Below are 22,526 nucleotides of genomic sequence, written 5' to 3' on the forward strand. Positions count from 1 at the left end.
CTTACTGAAAATATTAATGGAAGTAATGACACAGGAGTCAGGGAGAGGAAGGAGATGGGCTGTCCAAACATGTTTTCTGTTATCCATGTGTGAGCACTGCCTATGAACACTAAGGCAGGGGTCCCCAACCCCTGGGACCAGTACTGGTCTGTGACCTGCTAGGAACTGGGCCGTATAGCAGGAGGTGAGCAGTGGATGAGCAAGGGAGCATTACTGCCTGAGCTCTGCCTCCTGTCAGATCAGCAGCGTTCAATTCTCATAGGAGGGCTACCCTGTTGTGAACTGCACGTGCAAGGGATCTAGGTTGCACACTCCTTATGAAACTCTAATGCCTGATGATCTGAGGTGGAACAGTTTTATCCTGAAATCATCCCTCCAGCTTTGCCCCACATCCCCACTGTCCATGGAAAAATTGTCTTCCACGAAAATGGTTCCTGGTGCCAAAAAGGTTGGGGACCACTGCTCTAAGGAATATATTTAGAATTGCTGGAATAAATAATTTTTATCACTGGTGAATTGGCATATGGTTTTCTGTGTTTGATTTATATATTATTTAACTAAGTAAGTGTTCTGAAGAGGAATTTAGAAAAAGAGTATTTTATTCACTAGTAGGAACTTTAGTGCTCAGAGACATGTTTCTGCAGCCTGTCCCAGCATGTTATTTTTTGAACACATTGCATCTTCAGTATAGATGTGGTTTGAAACTTGGACTTCACTTTTAATTCACGTCATCTTGGTTAGGAAATTCAACTTCTCATTAGTGAAAATTTCTTATAAAAGCGAGAATAATGCTACCTATATTTTTTGGGATTGTTGTGAAGATTACACTTGATAAATTTAAACACCAATATATGTGTAAGGTGTACCATAAATTATTGATATATATATCATTGTAACCACTAATAGCAAATGTTTCTCAATGGCCTAGTAAGTAAAAGGTGTTTTGTTGATTCTGGGATTATAAAAAGATAGAATTTGTGGTCTTCATAGTTAGAAGCAGTATTTAAATAACGAACTTACTATTTGTAACAGTAGTTATTTACTTGCAATCTTTAAAAATTGTTATTTATTTATTTATTTATTTATTTATTATTATACTTTAAGTTTTAGGGTACATGTGCACAATGTGCAGGTTAGTTACATATGTATACATGCGCCATACTGGTGCACTGCACCCACTAACTCGTCATCTAGCATTAGGTATATCTCCCAATGCTATCCCTCCCCCCTCACCTCAAGCCACAACAGTCCCCAGAGTGTGATGTTCCCCTTCCTGTGTCCATGTGTTCTCATTGTTCAGTTCCCACTTATGAGTGAGAATATGCTGTGTTTGGTTTTTTGTTCTTGCAATAGTTTACTGAGAATGATGTTTTCCAATTTCATCCATGTCCCTACAAAGGACATGAACTCATCATTTTTTATGGCTGCATAGTATTCCATGGTGTATATGTGCCACATTTTCTTAATCCAGTCTATCATTGTTGGACATTTGGGTTTGTTCCAAGTCTTTGCTATTGTGAATAGTGCCGCAATAAACATACATGTACATGTGTCTTTATAGCAGCGTGATTTATAGTCCTTTGGGTATATCCCCAGTAATGGGATGGCTGGGTCAAATGGTATTTCTAGTTCTAGATCCCTGAGGAATCGCCACACTGACTTCCACAATGGTTGAACTAGTTTACAGTCCCACCAACAGTGTAAAAGTGTTCCTATTTCTCCACATCCTCTCCAGCACCTGTTGTTTCCTGACTTTTTAATGATTGCCATTCTAACTGGTGTGAGATGGTATCTCATTGTGGTTTTGATTTGCATTTCTCTGATGGCCAGTGATGGTGAGCATTTTTTCATGTTTTTTGGCTACATAAATGTCTTCTTTTGAGAAGTGTCTGTTCATGTCCTTTGCCCACTTTTTGATGGGGTTGTTTTTTTCTTGTAAATTTGTTTGAGTTCATTGTAGATTCTGGATATTAGCCCTTTGTCAGATGAGTAGGTTGCAAAAATTTTCTCCCATTTTGTAGGTTGCCTGTTCACTCTGATGGTAGTTTCCTTTGCTGTGCAGAAGCTCTTTAGTTTAATTAGATCCCATTTGTCAATTTTGGCTTTTGTTGCCATTGCTTTTCGTGTTTTAGACATGCAGTCTTTGCCCATGCCTATGTCCTGAATGGTAATGCCTAGGTTTTCTTCTAGGGTTTTTATGGTTTTAGGTCTAATGTTTAAGTCTTTAATCCATCTTGAATTGATTTTTGTATAAGGTGTAAGGAAGGGATCCAGTTTCAGCTTTCTACATATGGCTAGCCAGTTTTCCCAGCACTATTTATTAAATAGGGAATCCTTTCCCCATTGCTTGTTTTTCTCAGGTTTGTCAAAGATCAGATAATTGTAGATATGCGGCGTTATTTCTGAGGGCTCTCTTCTGTTCCATTGATCTATATCTCTGTTTTGGTACCAGTACCATGCTGTTTTGGTCACTGTAGCCTTGTAGTATAGTTTGAAGTCAGGTAGCGTGATGCCTCCATCTTTGTTCTTTTGGTTTAGGATTGACTTGGCGATGCGGGCTCTTTTTTGGTTCCATATGAACTTTAAAGTAGTTTTTTCCAATTCTGTGAAGAAAGTCATTGGTAGCTTGATGGGGATGGCATTGAATCTATAAATTACCTTGGGCAGTATGGCCATTTTCACGATATTGATTCTTTCTACCCGTGAGCATGGAATGTTCTTCCATTTGTTTGTATCCTCTTTTATTTCCTTGAGCAGTGGTTTGTAGTTCTCCTTGAAGAGGTCCTTCACATCCCTTGTAAGTTGGATTCCTAGGTATTTTATTCTCTTTGAAGCAATTGTGAATGGGAGTTCACTCATGATTTGGCTCTCTGTTTGTCTGTTGTTGGTGTATAAGAATGCTTGTGATTTTTGTACATTGATTTTGTATACTGAGACTTTGATGAAGTTGCTTATCAACTTAAGGAGATTTTGGGCTGAGACAATGGGGTTTTATAGATTTACAATCATGTCATCTGCAAACAGGGACAATTTGACTTCCTCTTTTCCTAATTGAATACCCTTTATTTCATTCTCCTGCCTAATTGCCCTGGCCAGAACTTCCAACACTATGTTGAATAGGAGTGGTGAGAGAGGGCATCCCTGTCTTGTGCCAGTTTTCAAAGGGAATGCTTCCAGTTTTTGTCCATTCAGTATGATATTGGCTGTGGGTTTGTCATAGATAGCTCTTATTATTTTGAAATACGTCCCATCAATACCTAATTTATTGAGAGTTTTTAGCATGAAGGGTTGTTGAATTTTGTCAAAGGCCTTTTCTGCATCTATTGAAATAATCGTGTGGTTTTTGTCTTTGGTTCTGTTTATATGCTGGATTACATTTATTGATTTGCGTATATTGAACCAGCCTTGCATCCCAGGGATGAAGCCCACTTGATCATGGTGGATAAGCTTTTTGATATGCTGCTGGATTCTGTTTGCCAGTATTTTATTGAGGATTTTTGCATCAATGTTCATCAAGGATATTGGTCTAAAATTCTCTCTTTTGGTTGTGTCTCTGCCCGGCTTTGGTATCAGGATGATGCTGGCCTCATAAAATGAGTTAGGGAGGATTCCCTCTTTTTCTATTGATTGGAATAGTTTCAGAAGGAATGGTACCAGTTCCTCCTTGTACCTCTGGTAGAATTCGGCTGTGAATCCATTTGGTCCTGGACTCTTTTTGGTTGGTAAGCTATTGATTATTGCCACAATTTCAGCTCCTGTTATTGGTCTATTCAGAGATTCAACTTCTTCCTGGTTTAGTCTTGGGAGAGTGTATGTGTTGAAGAATTTATCCATTTCTTCTAGATTTTCTAGTTTATTTGCATAGAGGTGTTTGTAGTATTTTCTGATGGTAGTTTGTATTTCGGTGGGATCGGTGGTGATATCCCCTTTATCATTTTTTATTGCATCTATTTGATTCTTCTCTCTTTTTTTCTTTATTAGTCTTGCTAGCGGTCTATCAATTTTGTTGATCCTTTCAAAGAAGCAGCTCCTGGCTCCTGGATTCATTAATTTTTTTGAAGGGTTTTTTGTGTCTCTATTTCCTTCAGTTCTGCTCTGATTTTAGTTATTTCTTGCCTTCTGCTAGCTTTTGAATGTGTTTGCTCTTGCTTTTCTAGTTCTTTTAATTGTGATGTTAGGGTGTCAATTTTGGATCTTTCCTGCTTTGTCTTGTGGGCATTTAGTGCTATAAATTTCCTTCTACATACTGCTTTGAATGCGTCCCAGAGATTCTGGTATGTTGTGTCTTTGTTCTTGTTGGTTTCAAAGAACATCTTTATTTCTGCCTTCATTTCATTATGTACCCAGTAGTCATTCAGAAGCAGGTTGTTCAGTTTCCATGTAGTTGAGTAGTTTTGAGTGAGATTCTTAATCCTGAGTTCTAGTTTGATTGCACTGTGGTCTGAGAGATAGTTTGTTATAATTTCTGTTATTTTACGTTTGCTGAGGAGAGCTTTACTTCCAGATATGTGGTCAATTTTGGAATAGGTGTGGTGTGGTGCTGAAAAATATGTATATTCTGTTGATTTGGGGTGGAGAGTTCTGTAGATGTCTATTAGGTCTGCTTGGTGCAGAGCTGAGTTCAATTCCTGGGTATCCTTGTTAACTTTCTGTCTCGTTGATCTGTCTAATGTTGACAGTGGGGTGTTAAAGTCTCCCATTATTAATGTGTGGGAGTCTAAGTCTCTTTGTAGGTCACTCAGGACTTGTTTTATGAATCTGGGTGCTCCTGTATTGGGTGCATATATATTTAGGATAGTTAGTTCTTCTTGTTGAATTGATCGCTTTACCATTATGTAATGGCCTTCTTTGTCTCTTTTGATCTTTGTTGGTTTAAAGTCTGTTTTATCAGAGACTAGGATTGCAACCCCTGCCTTTTTTGGTTTTCCATTTGCTTGGTAGATCTTCCTCCATCCCTTTATTTTGAGCTTATGTATGTCTCTGCACGTGAGATGGGTTTCCTGAATACAGCACACTGATGGGTCTTGACTCTTTATCCAATTTGCCAGTCTGTGTCTTTTAATTGGAGCATTTAGTCCATTTACATTTAAAGTTAGTATTGTTATGTGTGAATTTGATCCTGTCATTATGATGTTAGCTGGTTATTTTGCTCGTTAGTTGATACAGTTTCTTCCTAGTCTCGATGGTCTTTACATTTTGGCATGATTTTGCAGCGGCTGGTACCGGTTGTTCCTTTCCATGTTTAGCGCTTCCTTCGGGAGCTCTTTTAGGGCAGGCCTGGTGGTGACAAAATCTCTCAGCATTTGCTTGTCTGTAAAGTATTTTATTTCTCCTTCACTTCTGAAGCTTAGTTTGGCTGGATATGAAATTCTGGGTTGAAAATTCTTTTCTTTAAGAATGTTGAATATTGGCCCGCACTCTCTTCTGGCTTGTAGAGTTTCTGCCCAGACATCCGCTGTTAGTCTGACAGGCTTCCCTTTGAGGGTAACCCGACCTTTCTCTCTGGCTGCCCTTAACGTTTTTTCCTTCATTTCAATTTTGGTGAATCTGACAATTATGTGTCTTGGAGTTGCTCTTCTCGAGGAGTATCTTTGTGGCGTTCTCTGTATTTCCTGAATCTGAATGTTGTCCTGCCTTGCTAGAATGGGGAAGTTCTCCTGGATAATATCCTGCAGAGTGTTTTCCAACTTGGTTCCATTCTCCCCGTCACTTTCAGGTACACTAATCAGACGTAGATTTGGTCTTTTCACATAGTCCCATATTTCTTGGAGGCTTTACTTGTTTCTTTTTATTCTTTTTTCTCTAAACTTCCCTTCTCGCTTCATTTCATTCATTTCATCTTCCATCGCTGATACCCTTTCTTCCAGTTGATCGCATCGGCTCCTGAGGCTTCTGCATTCTTCACGTAGTTCTCGAGCCTTGGCTTTCAGCTCCATCAGCTCCTTTAAGCACTTCTCTGTATTGGTTATTCTAGTTATACATTCTTCTAAATTTTTTTCAAAGTTTTCAACTTCTTTGCCTTTGGTTTGAGTGTCCTCCCGTAGCTTGGAGTAATTTGTCTGAAGCCTTCTTCTCTCAGCTCGTCAAAGTCATTCTCTGTCCAGCTTTGTTCCGTTGCTGGTGAGGAACTGCGTTCCTTTGGAGGAGGAGAGGCGCTCTGCTTTTTAGAGTTCCAGTTTTTCTGCTCTGTTTTTTCCCCATCTTTGTGGTTTTATCTACTTTTGGTCTTTGATGCTGGTGATGTACAGATGGGTTTTTGGTGGGGATGTCCTTTCTGGTTGTTAGTTTTCCTTCTAACAGACAGGACCCTCAGCTGCAGGTCTGTTGGAGTACCCGGCCATGTGAGGTGTCAGTCTGCCCCTGCTAGGGGGTGCCTCCCAGTTAGGCTGCTCGGGGTCAGGGGTCAGGGACCCACTTGAGGAGGCAGTCTGCCCGTTCTCAGATCTCCAGCTGCATGGTGGGAGAACCACTGCTCTCTTCAAAGCTGTCAGACAGGGACCCTTAAGTCTGCAGAGGTTACTGCTGTCTTTTTGTTTGTCTGTGCCCTGCCCCCAGAGGTGGAGCCTACAGAGGCAGGCAGGCCTCCTTGAGCTGTGGTGGGCTCCACCCAGTTGGAGCTTCCTGGCTGCTTTGTTTACCTAAGCAAGCCTGGGCAATGGCGGGCGCCCCTCCCCCAGCCTCGCTGCCGCCTTGCAGTTTGATCTCAGACTGCTGTGCTAGCAATCAGGGAGACTCCGTGGGCGTAGGACCCTCCGAGCCAGGTGCGGGACAGGATCTCCTGATGCGCCGTTTTTTAAGCCCGTCAGAAAAGCGCAGTATTCGGGTGGGAGTGACCGGATCTTCCAGGTGCTGTCTGTCACCCCTTTCTTTGACTAGGAAAGGGAACTCCCTGACCCCTTGCGCTTCCCGATCGAGGCAATGCCTCGCCCTGCTTTGGCTGGTGCACGATGCGCACACCCACTGACCTGCTCCCACTGTCTGGCACTCCCTAGTGAGATGAACCCGGTACCTCAGATGGAAATGCAGAAATCACCCGTCTTCTGCCTTGCTCACGCTGGGAGCTGTATACCGGAGCTGTTCCTATTCGGCCATCTTGGCTCCTCCTAAAAATTGTTTTAAAGTTTGTATTGGATTTGAATTTTAGAGGCTTGCTAACTTTCCTTTAATAGTAACTCTCTGACTATCCTTACCCTTTTACCAACCAGGCTAGCAAAGTTGAACCACCAGTTTTAATGTTCTCACTTTTCATCTGTGGACCTAGACATGAAAACAATGGAGGCTAAGATGGGATTTTTGAGTTAACCTGCTCTCCACTGACTTTTTGAGTGGACGGTGGAGGTACTTCTCATGAAATACCAAGGTAGAAAGTGAACTTTACCCTTGTTGCATTTTGGCATGGCTTGCTTACAGCTTTTATTCATGTTAAAAGGTAAATTTATGACATGGAAATAAATAGTCATAAGTTTAGATTACGGATCCCAGCTGTCAGACTCTCCAGCCAGAGTGGGTCCTGTGGTGTCCAGCCTTCTCTGCTCTGCTTCTCTAGCCTTGACTAGTGCTTCATAGAACTATGTATGATACATTTTTGGTTACTATCATAGCCTCCCAACTCCTTTACAATTTTAGCTAATATTCTGTCTGCTATTATCTTAGCCTGTAGAAATGAAATGATCATGTAGGTTCATACATGTGTACATTGTTGTCTATGATACAGTCTCACTTGTAAAAAACTTCCTCAACAATAATCCATACTCTTAGTATTTTTGTAGCAGTTCGGAACTACTGGAGGTGAAGTCACTACCAAGTTCTGAATGTTTGTGAGGTGAGGAAACCACTAACATGTGAGAATATTTCCCAAAATCACTTCCTACCACAATATTTATGTTTCCAAGAAATTAACTGAACATTTACAATTTACTAAATACTTTAATGATTTATATATAACAATGTATATATTTTTTACAACAATTTAGGTGGGTACTATTATTATTCCTGTTTTGAGGATGAGAACATGAAGAAATGGAGAGTCCTACAGCTGGCCTCCTAAGTGGCCTGATGTACCACAGTTAGGAAGGGGCAGAGTTGAGACTACAACCCAAGTCGTGTGGGCACAGAGTCTGTACCTTTGGCATTTGCATTGCCAGTCTTTGAGGGGAGGTTTGGTTTTCCCATTTAGAGTTGGCAGAGGAGAGCAGGATGGAAGAGATGACCTCCACAGGATAATTCCAGGCTCTCAGAGCCAGAGAATCTTTTTCTCAATGCATAGTTTGAATTGGGCCTCTGGATCAGGGACCACGTGATGTAATAGCCCCAGTACGATAATATTTTGGATTGATGCTTTTCTTGTAATCTAGTCTCAGGCTGGAAAATGTATCTAGTTTATCAAGCATCATAAGGTCAACATTGGAGAATAGGCAACTAGAAGTCAGACTTGGAATTCACTGGTTCAAATTTCTTACATAGTATAATTTATGTATGTAATAAACATTAGTAGTAATACATGCCATTATCTGCCTTTAACCAAAGTTCTAAAACAGTGGTTCTCCCTTGTTATTTTGCAACACTTTGGGAGTGTTATGAAATTATAATATTAAAATGTTCCTACTAATATATAAAACACCTATGATATTATTGTGCCTTTTGGTGGGTGGGAATGAGGGTTTTGGATGTGGTCAAACTTCACTAAAAGTGTTAATAACCATGTAAGAGTGTGGAGAATATTTTTATTTATTTTGCTTTTTACCTATCCTCTGTAATGCCAAGTGTGAATAACTATTTGATAAAAATTGAAGAGAAACACGAGACTGAGGTTAAACAGGCTGAGTGAGGAGGCGGATGCAAATAGTGAGAGGAATAGCCTGATTTTTCCAAGGACAAGGATTTAGGCTGATGGGATGTATTATTCGGGGGCTGGGTGAGGCAGGGAGAGGAGGCTGAAATATGAGGAGAGGCTAAAGAAGGCAGAAATCTTCATTTTAAGAATCAGTGCTGTCTGTAACAAAAGAACCATTCCAGTGTCTCAAGGCAGCAGCAGGATGCTGTCTGTTCCAACAACTCATGGTAATTGGAGAAGGACGTTTCCCAGGCAGCTAAAAGTAAAGAAACAGAAAGGATTCTGCCTTATGGAAAAGCTCACTAACACAGAGACAGCAGAACAGGTGCGGGGCTGGAGGGCTTTGAAGATGTTGCAGAAGCAGGAAGCAGAGAGCATTGAGTTGTAGCATCCAGGCCCTACTCCCAGATTTGCTAGGGATGGTTGGCACTGTTACAGGGCCCAGTTCAAGTGCCTGAGAAAATGACTTCAGTGTGTGAGACATGCCAAGGGTTATACTATTTCTACCTTCTAGAATAGGGTGTAGGAAACTGGATGGGAGGGAAGGGTTGCACTGAATCAGCCAGAGGGCTGAGCTTTGCACCATGACCCTTCCCACTATGGCAATGATGTGGCATCTCACTGGCCAGCACATTGGTAATTTGAGTATGTCTTTTGTTATGTTCTCTGTATTTAGAATTAAGGGAGTTCAGACACTGTAAAGAGAAGGTGTAATATGTTAAGGCTTTTAAAATGTGAATTTTTTGGCATATATGGTGGAGAAAGCAAATGCTTAGTTGTGTGACAGGGATCAGAGTCTCCTTAGAAACTAATTAACAAAGTGTCCAGTATATTAATTATTTAAATTCATAAAATCATGGACTTGTATTAGATGATCTTTCAGGTTTTTTTCCATACATAAAGTTTCACAGTACTTCACACACTACAGTTTCTTTCTATATAGTCTATGATGACCTCTTCATTTTACCCTCAGACACAAGCTTTTACGGTTGGCCTTTTGTGGTCTTTTTTGGTATTGATAGTTTAGATTGAATTTTTGGTTCCTGGCATTTGGCTTACTTACTGATTTTTTTCTCATCTTGTGTCTCAAGAGAGCTTTCTTAAAATAAAATTCAGTCTCTCTTTTGTTTTCAGCATGATTGCATCTAATTATGTAATTAGGCTAAATACATGCAATCAGGAGCAAGTAATAAATATTAGATTCTAACTCTGTAAATTTTGTTTTTCGTAGTAAATGCCTCAGGGGCAGAGCTTTTTTATTTATGCCTGCTAATACCTTCCACAGTGTTGTACATGTACCAAGAACTCAGTAGTTATTTGTTGAATTAATGAAGTATTTTTAAGATGCAATGCAAATCTCATCTAAAAATATGCAAATTCTCTCGAGACGCTAGAAATATTTTTCAAAGTTATTTAAAGCCATATTATGTTTGGACCATGTACTGGTTTAGGCTAAATTGATTTATCAAGCTGTATGTTTGGCACAGTGGTGGCTATGACTACATTAGTTGTCTTGGAAGAAAAATGATTTTTATAGGTCATAAGTTAGGTCAGTTAGTCATCATAGATTTACTGTGTTTCTGACACTGTTTCCTTAGATTTGATCTGGCTTTTCTCTTGTACATTTGAAGCTTATTTAGGAGTGTGTCAGAACAAGCTGTCTCACCTGCCTGAATTGTTAGCCTTTAGGGCAGGGACAATGTTGTTATGTTATGTTCAGAGCAGGGCACAGGAGAGAGTTGCCTGGATCATAAAGAATGGTGATGAGCTCAAGTTGGTGACCTGGTTCCTCTGTTCAGACACTATGGGCTGGAAAGGATGTGCCATATTTCTCAGGGGTTTTTCCTAATAACCCCTCTGCAGCTATCCTGCACCTTGTTACAAAGTCTTCTTTTACATTACTTTGTAAACATGTACCTGTAATGTAACTTCCATTTTTCAAGCATTCCAATGTTACAAGCACATAAAAATACACCTTGTTTTATTTGTGTTTTTATACTCAATACCTAGCAAAATTCCTGGCATACGGAGAAGTTTGAAATGCTTGTTGAGTCAAATAGAGCTGGTGCCTGTGGCAGTGGATAATCAGGCAGTCGAAAGCAGATTAAAATCTCAAATCTAGGTGGATAAGCTGTTGATGTGCTGCTGGATTTGGTTTGCCAGTATTTTATTGAGGATTTTCACATCTATGTTCATCAGGGATATTGGCCTGAAACTTTCTTTTTTTGTTGTGTCTCTACCAGGTTTTGGTATCAGGATGATACTGGCCTCATAAAATGAGCTAGGGAGGATTCCCTCTTTTTCTATTGTTTGGAATAGTTTCAGAAGGAATGGTACTAGTTCCCTTTGTACTTCTGGTAGAATTCGGCTGTGAATCTGTCTGGTCCTGGACTTTTTTAGGTTGGGAGGCTATTAATTACTGCCTCAATTTCAGAACTTGTTATTGGTCTATTCAGGGATTCGACTTATTCCTGGTTTAGTCTTTGGAGGGTGTATGTATCCAGGAATTTATCCATTTCTTCTAGATTTTCTAGTTTATTTGCATAGAGGGGTTTATAGTATTCTCTGATGATCATTTGTATTTCTGTGGGATCAGTGGTGATCTCCCTTTGTCATTTTTTATTGTGTCTATTTGATTCTTCTCTCTTTTTTCTTCTGTATTAGTCTGGCTAGCAGTCTATTTTGTTAATCTTTTCAGAACACCAGCTCCTGGATTAATTGATTTTTTTGAAGGGTTTTTCGTGTCTCTATCTCCTTCAGTTCTGCTCTGATCTTAGTTATTTGTTGTCTTCTGCTAGCTTTTGAATTCGTTTGCTTCCTTCTATAGTTCTTTTGTGATGTTAGGGTGTTGATTTTAGATCTTTCGCGCTTTCTCCTGTGGACATTTAGTGCTATAAATTTCCATCAAAAAACTGCTTTAGCCGTGTCCCAGAGATTCTGGCACATGGTGTCTTTGTTCTCATTGGTTGCAAAGAACTTATTTATTTCTTCCTTATTTTAATTATTTACCCAGTAGTTGTTCAGGAGCAGGTTGTTCAGTTTCCATGTAGTTGTGCAGTTTTGAGTGAGTTTCTTAATCCTGAGTTCTAATTTGATTGCATTGTGGTCTGAGAGACTGCTTGTTATAATTTCTGTTCTTTTACATTTGCTGAGGAGTGTTTTACTTCCAATTATGTGATCAGTTTTAGAATAAGTGCGATGTGGTGCTGAGAAGAATATATATTCTGTTGATTTGGGGTGGAGAGGTTCAACATATGCAAATCAATAAATGTAATCCATCACATAAACAGAACCAATGACAAAAACCACATGATTATCTCAATAGATGCAGAAAAGGCCTTTGACAAAATTCAACACGCCTTCATGCTAAAATCTCTCAATAAACTAGATATTGATGGAACGTATCTCAAAATAATAAGAGCTATTTATGACAAACCCACAGCCATTATCATTCTGAATGGGCAAAAACTGGAAGCATTCCCTTTGAAATCTGGCACAAGACAAGGATGCTCTCTCTCAGCCACTACTATTCAACATAATATTGGAAGTTCTGGCCAGGACAATCAGGCAAGAGAAAGAAATAAAGGGTATTCAAATAGGAAGAGAGGAGGTCAAATTGTCTCTGTTTGCAGATGACATGATTTTATATATAAAAACCCCATCGTCTCAGCCCAAAATCTCCTTAAGCTGATAAGCAACTTCAGCAAAGTCTCAGGATACAAAATCAATGTGCAAAAATCACAAGCATTCCTATTCACCAATAATAGACAAACAGAGAGCCATATCATGAGTGAAGTCCCATTCGCAATTGCTACAAAGAGAATAAAATACCTAGAAATACCACTTACAAGAGATGTGAAGGACCTCTTCTACAAACCACTGCTCAAGGAAATAAGAGAGGACACTGACAAATGGAAAAGCATTCCATGCTCATGGATAGGAAAAATCAATATCGTGAAAATGGCCATACTGCCCAAAGTAATATATAAATTCATTGCTATCCCCATCAAGCTACCATTGAGTTTCTTCACAGAATTAGAAAAAACTACTTTAAATTTCATATGGAACCAAAAAAGAGCCTGCATCATGAAGACAATCCTTAGCAAAAAGAACAAAGCTGGAAACACCACGCCACCTGACTTGAAGCTATACTACAAGGCTACAGTAACCAAAACAGCATAGTACTAATACCAAAACAGATATATAGACGAATGGAACAGAACAGAGGCCTCAGAAATAACACCACACATCTACAACCATCTGATCTTTGACAAACCTGACAAAAACAAGCAGTGGGGAAAGGATTCCTATTTAATAAATGGTGCTGGGAAAGCTGGCTAGCCATATGCAGAAAACTGAAACTGGACCCCGTCCTTATGCCTTATAAAAAAATTAACTCAAGATGGATTAAAGACTTAAATGTAAGACCTAAAACCATAAAAACCCTAGAAAAAAACCTAGGCAATACCATTCAGGACATAGGCATGGGCAAAGACTTCATGATTAAAACACCAAAAGCAATGGCAACAAAAGCCAAAATTGACAAATGGGATTTAATTAAACTAAAGAGCTTCTGCACAGCAAAAGAAACTATAATCAGAATGAACAGGCCACCTACAGAATGGGAGAAAGTTTTTGCAATCTATCCATCTGACAAAGGGCTAATATCCAGAATCTTCAAAGAACTTAAACAAATTTACATGAAAAAAAACCCCATCAAAAAGTGGGCAAAGGATATGAACAGACACCTCTCAAAAGAAGACATTTATGCAGCCAACAAACATAGGAAAAAAAGCTCATCATCACTGGTCATTAGAAAAATGCAAATCAAAACCACAATGAGATACCATCTTTTGCCAGTTAGAATGGTGATTATTAAAAACTCAGGAAACAACAGATGCTGGAGAGGATGTGGAGAAACAGCTTTTACACTGTTGGTGGGAGTATAAATTAGTTCAACCATTGTGGAAGAGAGTGTGGTGATTCCTCAAGGATCTAGAACCAGAAATACCATTTTACCCAGCCATCCCATTACTGTATATATACCCAAATGATTATAAATCATTCTAATATAAAGACACATGAACACATATGCTTAGTGCAGCACTATTCACAATAACAAAGACTTGGAACCAACCCAAATGCCCATCAATGATAGGCTGGGTTAAGAAAATGTGGCACATATACACCATAGAATTTTATGCAGCCATAAAAAAGGATGAGTTCATGTCCTTTGCAGGGACATGGATGAAGCTGGAAAACATCATTCTCAGGAAACTAACACAGGAACAGAAAACCAAACACTGCATATTCTCACTCATAAGTGGGAGTTCAACAATGAGAACACATGGACACAGGGAGGGGAACATCACACACCGGGTCTTGTTGGGGGGTAGTGGGTGGGGGGTGGAGGGAGGGATAGCATTAGAAGAAATACGTAATGTAGATGACAGGTTGATGTGTGCAGGAAACCACCATGGCACATGTATACCTATGTAGCAAACCTGCAAGTTCAGCACTTGTATCCTGGAACTTAAAGTATAAAAAAAAATAAAATAAAATCTCGAATCTAGATTTCCTGTCACCTTTCAAAGGAGTAGTGGATTCTAATGGCTCCTAGACCCTAACCCAGAATCATCCAGCTTGGTTAGGGTCATCATAGATCTCCAGGCAATGGGATTTATAGAAATAATGGTCTTAGAAAAGGCAGTTGATTTTGTAATTACACCTGATGTCACTTTGGGTTTGTAATCCTTTGTTTGGAGATATTTTTGCCCCAAAGGGGTCAGAGGAATTGGGAACTTGGGCGCAGGAGGATTTATACTTATTGAAAATGGACTTTCCTTATAATCACATGTGGAAGCCTTATGAAACAACTCTTTTGGTGCTCTTAACTGGACTTGTTTAAATCCTTACTGCTCAATGCCTTTATAACATGAATAAGAAACAGTGTTCTGACAGTAAAACATCCATTAGAAAAGATGGTAAATTTATTGGGAACATTTTAGGGCTTAAGCATATTTATAACTGTGAGATATGGCCTCAATTATTAATCATCCTGAGAAACTGGAGAAGTGACTCAGGTGACTCTGATAGACTAGATTAATGGCACATGATTTTACTACCCCAAACTGAAATCATCATCTACAAAAAGAGATTTGCAGGCTTTTTGGTGATTTATCCCTGGCTGCCTTAGAGCGCAGAACTGTGGCTGTTAATTACCACTGATTTCATTTACCTTCACCTAGGAATGTCATTTTGAAGTGCAATTTGTCATTTGAAGTGTGGTGAAAGGATTCAAATCATTCCACGTTTGACACTTTGGACTAAAGTTAACCCAAAGACATGGTTAATCTATGATTTATTTTTAAAACAGTAAGAAATAGTGGTGAAGAGGTATTATTTTTTGAGGACTTACTATGTTTGAGGAATAATACCTACATTTGAGTCAAATGAAGGTATTATTCCCATTTTACAGATGAGAAATTTGAGACTTAGAGTAATTAAAGGTTTTGCCCAAGGCTACACTACTTAAAAGAAGTCATCCAGGATCCAAGCCAACCTAAATGATTTCAAGGTCCATTTGCTCTGCCTCCTCCATAGAAATTTCCCCCCAAGTTTTGCAGTGATTTAAATATCTGCAGCAGGTTTTTCCTCATATGGCACTCTGGTGTTACAGTTATTTAAGATTTGGTTTTATTTTATTAGACTACTTTTGTCTTAATGAATAGAGTTGTATATTTCTATAGCATCTGGGATAGTGCCTCTTGGTCATAGATTTATAATCATTTATTAAATAAAGTCATTTAATAATCTGACACTGTTGGGTTGCTACTTGATGTAGATCTGGAGTTCAAAATTATTCTTCCCCAAATAATGCTAGTGGTTGGCAGTTATAATGTAAAATCTCCATTAAAATATCATAATTTTTATCTTTCTTTAAAAAAACAAACAGAGTATACATTCTTGTCAGCACAACATAGCACTTATTCTAAAACTGATCACATAATTGTAAAACACTCCTCAGCAAATGCAAAACAATGGAAATAATAACAGTCTCTCAGACCACAGTGCAATCAAATTAGAACTCAGTATTAAGAAACTCACTCAAAACTGCACAACTACATGGAAACTGAACAATCTGCTCCTAAATGACTACTGGGTGAATAATGAAATTCAGGCAGAAATAAAGATGTTCTTTGAAACCAATGAGAACAAAGACACAATGTACCCGAATCTCTGGGACACAGCTAAAGCAGCATTTTGAGGGAAATTTATAGGACTAAATGCCACAAGAGGAAGCAGGAGAGATCTAATTTTGACACCCTAACATCACAATTAAAAGAACTAGAGAAGCAAGAGCAAACACATTCAAAAGCTAGCAGAAGGCAAGAAATAACCAAGATCAGAGCAGAACTGAAGGAGATAGAGACATGAAAAACCCTTCAAAAAATCAATGAATCCAGGAGCTGGTTTTTTGAAAAGATAACAAAATTGATAGACTGCTAGCCAGACTAATAAAGAAGAAAAGAGAAAAGAATCACACAGACACAATAAAAAATGATAAAGGGGATATCACCACCTATCCCACAGAAATACAAACTACCATCAGAGAATACTATAAAAACCTCTACGCAAATAAACTAGAAAATCTAGAAGAAATGGATAAATTCCTGGATACATACACCCTCCCAAGACTAAACCAGGAATAAGTCGAATCCTTGAATAGACCAATAAGTAGTTCTGAAATTGAGACAGTAATTAATAGCCTCCCAACCTAAAAGAGTCCAGAACCAGTCGGATTCACAGCCAAATTCTACCAGAGGTACAAAGGGGAGCTGGTACCATTCCTTCTGAAACTATTCCAAACAATAGAAAGAGAGGGAATCCTCCGTAGCTCATTTTATGAGGCCAGCTCATCCTGATACCAAAATCTGGAAGAGACATAACAAAAAAAGAAAGTTTCAGGCCAATATCCCTGATGAACATCAATGCAAAAATCCTCAGTAAAATACTGGCAAACCAAATACAGCAGCACATCAAAAAGTTTGTCCACCATGATCAAGTCAGCTTCATCCCTGTGATGCAACAGTGGTTCAACATATGTGAATCAATAAATGTAATTTATCACATATACAGAACCAATGACAAAAACCGATTATCTCAATAGATGCAGAAAAGGCCTTGGACAAAATTCAACAGCCCATCATGCTAAAAAGTCTCAATAAACTATGTATTGATGGAACATATGTCAAAGTAATAAGAGCTATTTATGACAAACCCACAGCCAATATCATACTGAAAGGGCAAAAACTGGAAGCATTACCTTTGAAATCTGGCACAAGACAAGGATGCCCTCTCTCACCACTCCTATTCAATGTAGTATTGGAAGTTCTGGCCAGGACAATCAGGCAAGAGAAAGAAATAAAGGGTATCCAATTAGGAAAAGAGGAAGTGAAATTGTCTCTGTTTGCAGATGACATGATTTTATATATAGAAAACCCTGGCCGGGCGCGGTGGCTCACGCTTGTAATCCCAGAACTTTGGGAGGCCGAGGCGGGCGGATCACGAGGTCAGGGGATGGAGACTACAGTGAGACCCCATCTCTACTAAAAATACAAAAAATTAGCCAGGCGTGGTGGCGGGCACCTGTAGTCCCAGCTACTCGGAGAGGCTGAGGCAGGAGAATGGCGTGAACCCGGGAGGCGGAGCTTGTAGTGAGCCGAGATCACATCACTGCACTCCAGTCTGGGCAACAAAGCGAAACTCCGTCTCAAAAAAGAAAAAAAAAAAAGAAAAAAAAAAAAAAAAAAGAAAACCCCATCGTCTCAGCCCGAAATCTCCTTAAGCAACTTCAGCAAAATCTCAGGATACAAAATCAATGTGCAAAAATCACAAGCATTCTTATACACCAATAATAGACAGAGAGCCAAATCATGAATGAACTCCCATTCACAATTGCTACAAAGAGAGTAAAATACCTAGGAATATAACTTACAAGGGATATGAAGGACCTCTTCAAGGAGAACTACAAACCACTGCTCAAGGAAATAAGAGAGGACACAAACAAATGGAAAAACATTCCATGCTTACAGATACAAAGAATCAATATCATGAAAATAGCCATACTCCCCAAAGTAATTTATAGATTCAATGCTATCCTGCTATCCCCATCAAACTACCATTGAGTTTCTTCATAGAATTAGAAAAAACTACTTTAAATTTCATATGGAACCAAAAAAGAGCCTGCATAGTGAAGACAGTCCTTAGCAAAAGAAGAAAGCTGGAAGCATCACGCTACCTGACTTCAAACTATACTACAAGTAACCAAAACAGCATGGTACTGGTACCAAAACAGACATATAGACCAATGGAACAGAACAGGGGCCTCAGAAATAACACCACACATCTACAACCATCTGATCTTTGACAAACCTGACAAAAACAAGCAATGGGGAAAGGATTCCTATTTAATAAATTGTGTTGGGAAAACTGGCTAGCCGTATGCAGAAAGCACAAACTGGATCCCTTCCTTACACCTTATAAAAAATTAACTCAAGATAGATTAAAGACTTAAATGTAAGACCCAAAACCATAAGAACCCTAGAAGAAAACCTAGGTAATACCATTCAGGACATAGGCATGGGCAAAGACTTCATGATTAAAACACCAAAAGCAATGGCAACAAAAGCCAAAATTGACAAATGGGATCTAATTAAACTAAAGAGCTTCTGCACAGCAAAAGAAACTGTTATCAGAGTGTCTATCCTTTGAGAGCCAAAGTGTCTATCCTTTGAGAGTTTGTAACCAAGTGCAATGATGGGAGATATTAATACTATTTATAATGTTAGGTGGAATATTCTATTAATGCCTTAAGAAAGGATTAAAGCAGAGTTGTAAAAGTTTGGAGAGAGATGGTTTTTAATTTGCAAGGATCGGGGAAATGTTCATGAAAAAGGGGACATTTGACCTAGAACTTGGAAAAATGAGTATGTTTTGACCGATAGATTTCAAGGGAAAGAACTCCAGGCAGAGGAAAGATTTTGGCAATAGTCATGGCGGCAGAAATGTCAAGGATATGATAACTAGTTTAATTTGACGGGAGTATAAGACTTGTTAAGATAGTGAAAAAGATAAGACAGGGAAGGATCGTTGGAGACAGAGCTTTGGGGGTCTTGTACAAGATGATATTTAAGTTCCTTTTCAACAACTTTATGATCCTATAATTCTCTGAATGCCATGACAAGTCACTGGGTTTTATTAAGTAAGCAATTGTGAGTCCCAAAAATATTTTCAGTTGTGACATCTTATCTTCATTTGATATTCTATTTATTTATTTATTTATTTATTTATTTATTTATTTATTTATTTATTTTTTGAGACAGAGTCTCGCTCTGTCGCCCAGGCTGGAGTGCATGGTGCTATCTCGGCTCAATGCAAGCTCCGCCTCCGCGGTTCACGCCATTCTCCTGCCTCAGCCTCCCGAATAGCTGGGCCCATAGGCGCCCGCCACCACGCCCGGCTAATTTTTTGTATTTTTAGTAGAGATGGGGTTTCACCGTGTTAGCCAGGATGGTCTCGATCTCCTGACCTCGAGATCCGGCCGCCTCGGCCTCCCAAAGTGCTGGGATTACAGGCGTGAGCCACCGCGCCTGGCCCATTTGATATTCTTACAGTGCCATGGAGTGACATAATCAGAACTGTGTTTTGTAAGCACAGATTTTCTTTTTTTAAGATTATTTTGGCAGCAATGTGTACTGTTGCATGAAGTGGAAAAGGACTGAAGGTAAAAGTTGGAAGGCTATTGCAATAGTGTAAAATTAGGAAATAGTATAGATTATACTATTAGAAACTAGTATAGATTAGAAATATAGTACAGATTAGAAAATAATATAGCATAGATTAGAAACAAAGACCTGAATTAGAATAGCATCGATGAAAATAAAGAGTTAGAGGCAAATTTAAGACGAATTTTAGAATTATATTCTACAGGGCTGGGCAGTTGATTGAATGTATTACTATGTTTTGGGAGCAGTGTTAGAGAAGGAGAGCTTAAAGATAATTTCAGAGTTTGGAGGCTGGGGGATTATAAGAAGGTTGAGAACATAATAGAGCTAAAGGAATCATTTGGTGATGCCTATTTAAAGAAGAGGGAAAAGAGTTCATTTTTAGTTGTATTAAGTTAATGGCAAGGAATTCAGGGCATTCAATTAGTTTTGAAATTGGGAATGAAATAAAAGGCTGATATTATTTTCTACATGCAAATTCTTGATGGGGAAGTTTAGGGCAAAGTACCAAATGGAACATTATCTCATTTTCAACACATCCATTAATTACAGATCTTGAAGAACTCTATCATTAATAAGTAGACACACTCTAATAAAAATAGACTCATAGACACAAAGACCTACCCATTTATACAAATACTCCTGTAAAGGTAGCTCATAATAGTTACTGTGATGAATTGAGAGTGACCATCTCTGGTACTAGGAAAGAATAAAAAAACTTTAACTTCAGAACTGATTTGGATCAAATGATTCCAGGAAATTCCATTATAAGTACTTCTTTTATTTAAAGTTCATGATCATTCCTCAGGCCCCTTAGGTTGCTTAATTTTCTTATCCTTAACAATCTCCTTATGAGATATTGAGTGAATAGGATTTGTGCTATCTTGGGGCCATTTTATCAACTAGTTCTTGAAGGGGGCAGATTGATTTTCCCAAGGTTAGGTTTCATTTTATTAATTGATGTCCAACAGTTCCAGAATTTACTTAATTCAGGTGGAGCACAGTTGTTAGGCCATTAACTCTCCAGCTACATTTGTCTTCCATTAATCAAACTGAAATTCAGTTTCTAAGATAGGTTTTGCAAACCTCTTTACCCTCACTCCCTTTCTCTCCTCCTCCTTCCATTTGTTTAAAAAAAATTATTAAATTCCTGCTCCCTGCCAGACATTATGTCAAATGCTAGTAATGGATTGATGAATATGCTCCCGTTTTTAGGCATCTCATAGTACATGGGGGTAAAATCATACATGCTCTGACAGAGGAGCACAGAATAGGGAACTAAATCAGACCAGGTTAGGGAGGGGTAAATTAGAAAGGCTTCCTGGAAGTGGTGACATCTGAGCAGAGTTGTGAAGGTACATAGGAAGTAGCTAGCCAAGGGGTGGGGGTTGTGGGATGAGAAGGGGTGGGTATTCTATGTGAGGGTTAAAGACACATGAAAAGATTTACAAGTAGTCTATATAGCTGGAAAGAGGAGCATATTTGGAGAATTCTAGGAGATAAGATTAGATAAATAGGCAGAAGATAGATAATTTTGAGTTTTGGGTTTACATGAGGACTTTCAATTACTTCTTGAAATCTTTAGAAAGCCATTGTAGCATTTTATGCAATGGATTAACTTGATAAACTCTGTATTTTGCGAAGTTTATTCTGGTACAGGAATGGAAAGTGTATTTGAGAAAGGCCAAGAAATCTGTTGGAGGCCACTGCTGAAATATGAGAATGACGTGGATGAAAGTCTAAACTAAGGTAGCTGAAAAATTGAGAGAAAGGGACAAATTCAGGAGTCATTGAAAAGGTAGACAGTTTGGGACCTGGAGCCTGATTTGATGGAGTAAGTGACAGACACGGATAAACTCTCATATATTTGGTTTGGATATCTGCATCTTTAGTTGGTTCATTCACTGGAGGTGCAGAAGATCTGGTTTCTGGTAAAAGGTAGACGTTACCAACTGTGACATGTGGTTGTAGAGGTTTGCATTGGTTATCCAAGTAGAAATGTCTATTAGGCAACTCAGTTGAATGTTTTGAGCAAGAGATATAGATTATGGAGTTAGCCTATGAGCTGATGCTGTGGGTGTGGATGCCAAACTGCAGGGGTGCTGCATAATGTGAAAGGGCAGAGGATGAGGTTGGAGCTTTGGGAAGACTAGAACCAATTACATGGGAAGATATTTAATTGGTAACGAGAGGAACACATGAAAGACAGATAAACAGGAAGAGTAAGAGGTAGGAGAAAAAACAGAGAAGAGCAATGCAATTAATGGAAACTGAGAGGGTTTGAAGGAGTTGTCCTTAGTGTCAATTGTGCAAACATGTATATTAAGATCTACAGAATGTTTTGTATTGTATTCGGCATAAAGACATACTCATTGACCTCAGACTTGTACAGTTTCAGTAGAACATTATTGGAAGAGCTGAGTTTGAGACCTAATATTTTCCAGGTTATAAGGGTAACAGCTAAGTTAGGAATTAAAAATGAAATGGCACTTTGGGAGGCTGAGGCGGGCGGATCACTTTAGGCCAGGTGTTCAAGTCCAACCTGGCCAACATGGTGAAAACCTGTGTCTACTAAAAATACAAAAATTAGCCAGGTATGATGGTACATGCTTGTAATCCCAGCTACTTGGGAAGCTGAGGTGGGAGAATCACTTGAACCACGGAAGCGGAAGTTGCAGTGAGCCGAGATTGTGCCACTGCACTCCAGCCTGGGCAACAGAGTGAGACTTTGTCTCAAAAAAAAAAAAAAAGGAAAAAAAGAAAAAACAGTGGTAGAGTGGAAATAGATCTTGGACTCAAAACCAGGTTGGGGGCCAAAATGAGCAGCAAGTGATCTCAGACAGAAGCAGGCAGGAAACAAACAGGAGGCTCATAAAGATTCTATTGAAATATGATATGATTTTATC

General features: G+C 39.0%; 1 long non-coding RNA gene across 12 annotated transcripts in view, besides 1 other annotated feature; it reads left to right on the forward strand.

Moving 5' to 3' along the window:
* Positions 1-22,526, forward strand: part of LOC105370461 (uncharacterized) — a 433,650-nt gene that overhangs the window by 150,839 nt on the left and 260,285 nt on the right. The window lies entirely within an intron of this gene.
* Positions 6,197-6,786: an enhancer, noted in NCBI's record as "NANOG-H3K27ac-H3K4me1 hESC enhancer chr14:40058588-40059177 (GRCh37/hg19 assembly coordinates)". NCBI's record gives its function as "activates a minimal SCP1, AML or CMV promoter by ChIP-STARR-seq in primed H9 embryonic stem cells {active_cell/tissue: H9 hESC(primed)}" and the evidence as "EXISTENCE:reporter gene assay evidence [ECO:0000049][PMID:30033119]".

Source organism: Homo sapiens, chromosome 14, assembly GCF_000001405.40.
Source record: "Homo sapiens chromosome 14, GRCh38.p14 Primary Assembly".
NCBI lineage: Eukaryota > Metazoa > Chordata > Mammalia > Primates > Hominidae > Homo > Homo sapiens.